We start from the raw sequence: 665 nt of genomic DNA on the forward strand, positions 1-665 counted from the left end.
AACCGCATCGCAAAGGTAGCTCACTGGCCCCGGGGCGGGTCCCTGGCCGACAAACCCGTAACTCACAGCAGTGACGCTTCCCGACGCCCCCCGGCCACATCCCCACAGGAACGCTACGGCGCACAGGGCATTACTGTGCCCCCACCACAACCACATAAAGAAAATGTGGGGGCTCGGTCCTCCAGTCACGCGGCGAGCAAGTGCAGCGCGGGACGCCCGAGCGCCGGGTCTAGGCGGGCTGCAGGTGCCGGCAAGTGCTGGGGCCGGGCCGCCGCGGAACCCACCTGTGCTGGGCCTCAGGCCTTGCGCCGCCCTCGGGCTGCCGTCGCCAACCCCCCCCAAACAGCTCGCCGCCACGCTCCCTCGCCGGGGCACCGCCCCCGGCACCCGCCCCGGAAGTAGTTGCGGGAGGGCGCGGAGCACGCCGGGAAGCTCGCGGGTCGGCACCGGGACAGCTCCCGGGCGCCGTGGAATGCACACGTCCCGCACCCGGACCTTCCGGTCAGCTTCCCGGCTCGCTGTCTGATGCCCGCGGTAGCCAATGAGCTAGTGGTGTTTGTCCTGCTCCGTCCCCGCCCTCCAGGGGAACCAATCCCATTGCAGGAGAGGCAGGACGCGCAAAGGCCCGAAAGAGGAGCTGGGCGGGGTGGGGGGAAGGCGGAGGC

General features: G+C 70.8%; 1 protein-coding gene across 9 annotated transcripts in view, besides 2 other annotated features; it reads right to left on the minus strand.

Annotated features, from left to right (window-relative positions):
• ANKS3 (ankyrin repeat and sterile alpha motif domain containing 3) overlaps positions 1 to 400 on the minus strand; it is a 37,761-nt gene extending 37,361 nt beyond the window's left edge. For 5 of the 9 annotated variants that reach the window (NR_040252.2, NM_001324129.2, NM_001242929.2 and 2 more), the window contains exon 1: positions 285 to 400. Coding sequence is in view for 2 of the 9 variants with exons in the window: in XM_011522372.2 (XP_011520674.1) it covers positions 67 to 100 (34 nt within the window). In the remaining 7 variants the exon portion in view is untranslated. Of the gene's footprint in view, positions 1 to 66 lie in introns of all 9 variants that reach the window. The other 4 variants (NM_001324130.2, NM_133450.4, XM_011522372.2 and 1 more) reach the window with 3 other exon arrangements.
• Positions 186 to 245: a silencer, noted in NCBI's record as "silent region_7163". NCBI's record gives its function as "represses an Ori minimal core promoter by ATAC-STARR-seq in GM12878 lymphoblastoid cells {active_cell/tissue: GM12878}" and the evidence as "EXISTENCE:reporter gene assay evidence [ECO:0000049][PMID:35858748]".
• Positions 296 to 525: a silencer, noted in NCBI's record as "silent region_7164". NCBI's record gives its function as "represses an Ori minimal core promoter by ATAC-STARR-seq in GM12878 lymphoblastoid cells {active_cell/tissue: GM12878}" and the evidence as "EXISTENCE:reporter gene assay evidence [ECO:0000049][PMID:35858748]".

The sequence above is a fragment of the Homo sapiens genome, chromosome 16, assembly GCF_000001405.40.
Source record: "Homo sapiens chromosome 16, GRCh38.p14 Primary Assembly".
Lineage (NCBI taxonomy): Eukaryota > Metazoa > Chordata > Mammalia > Primates > Hominidae > Homo > Homo sapiens.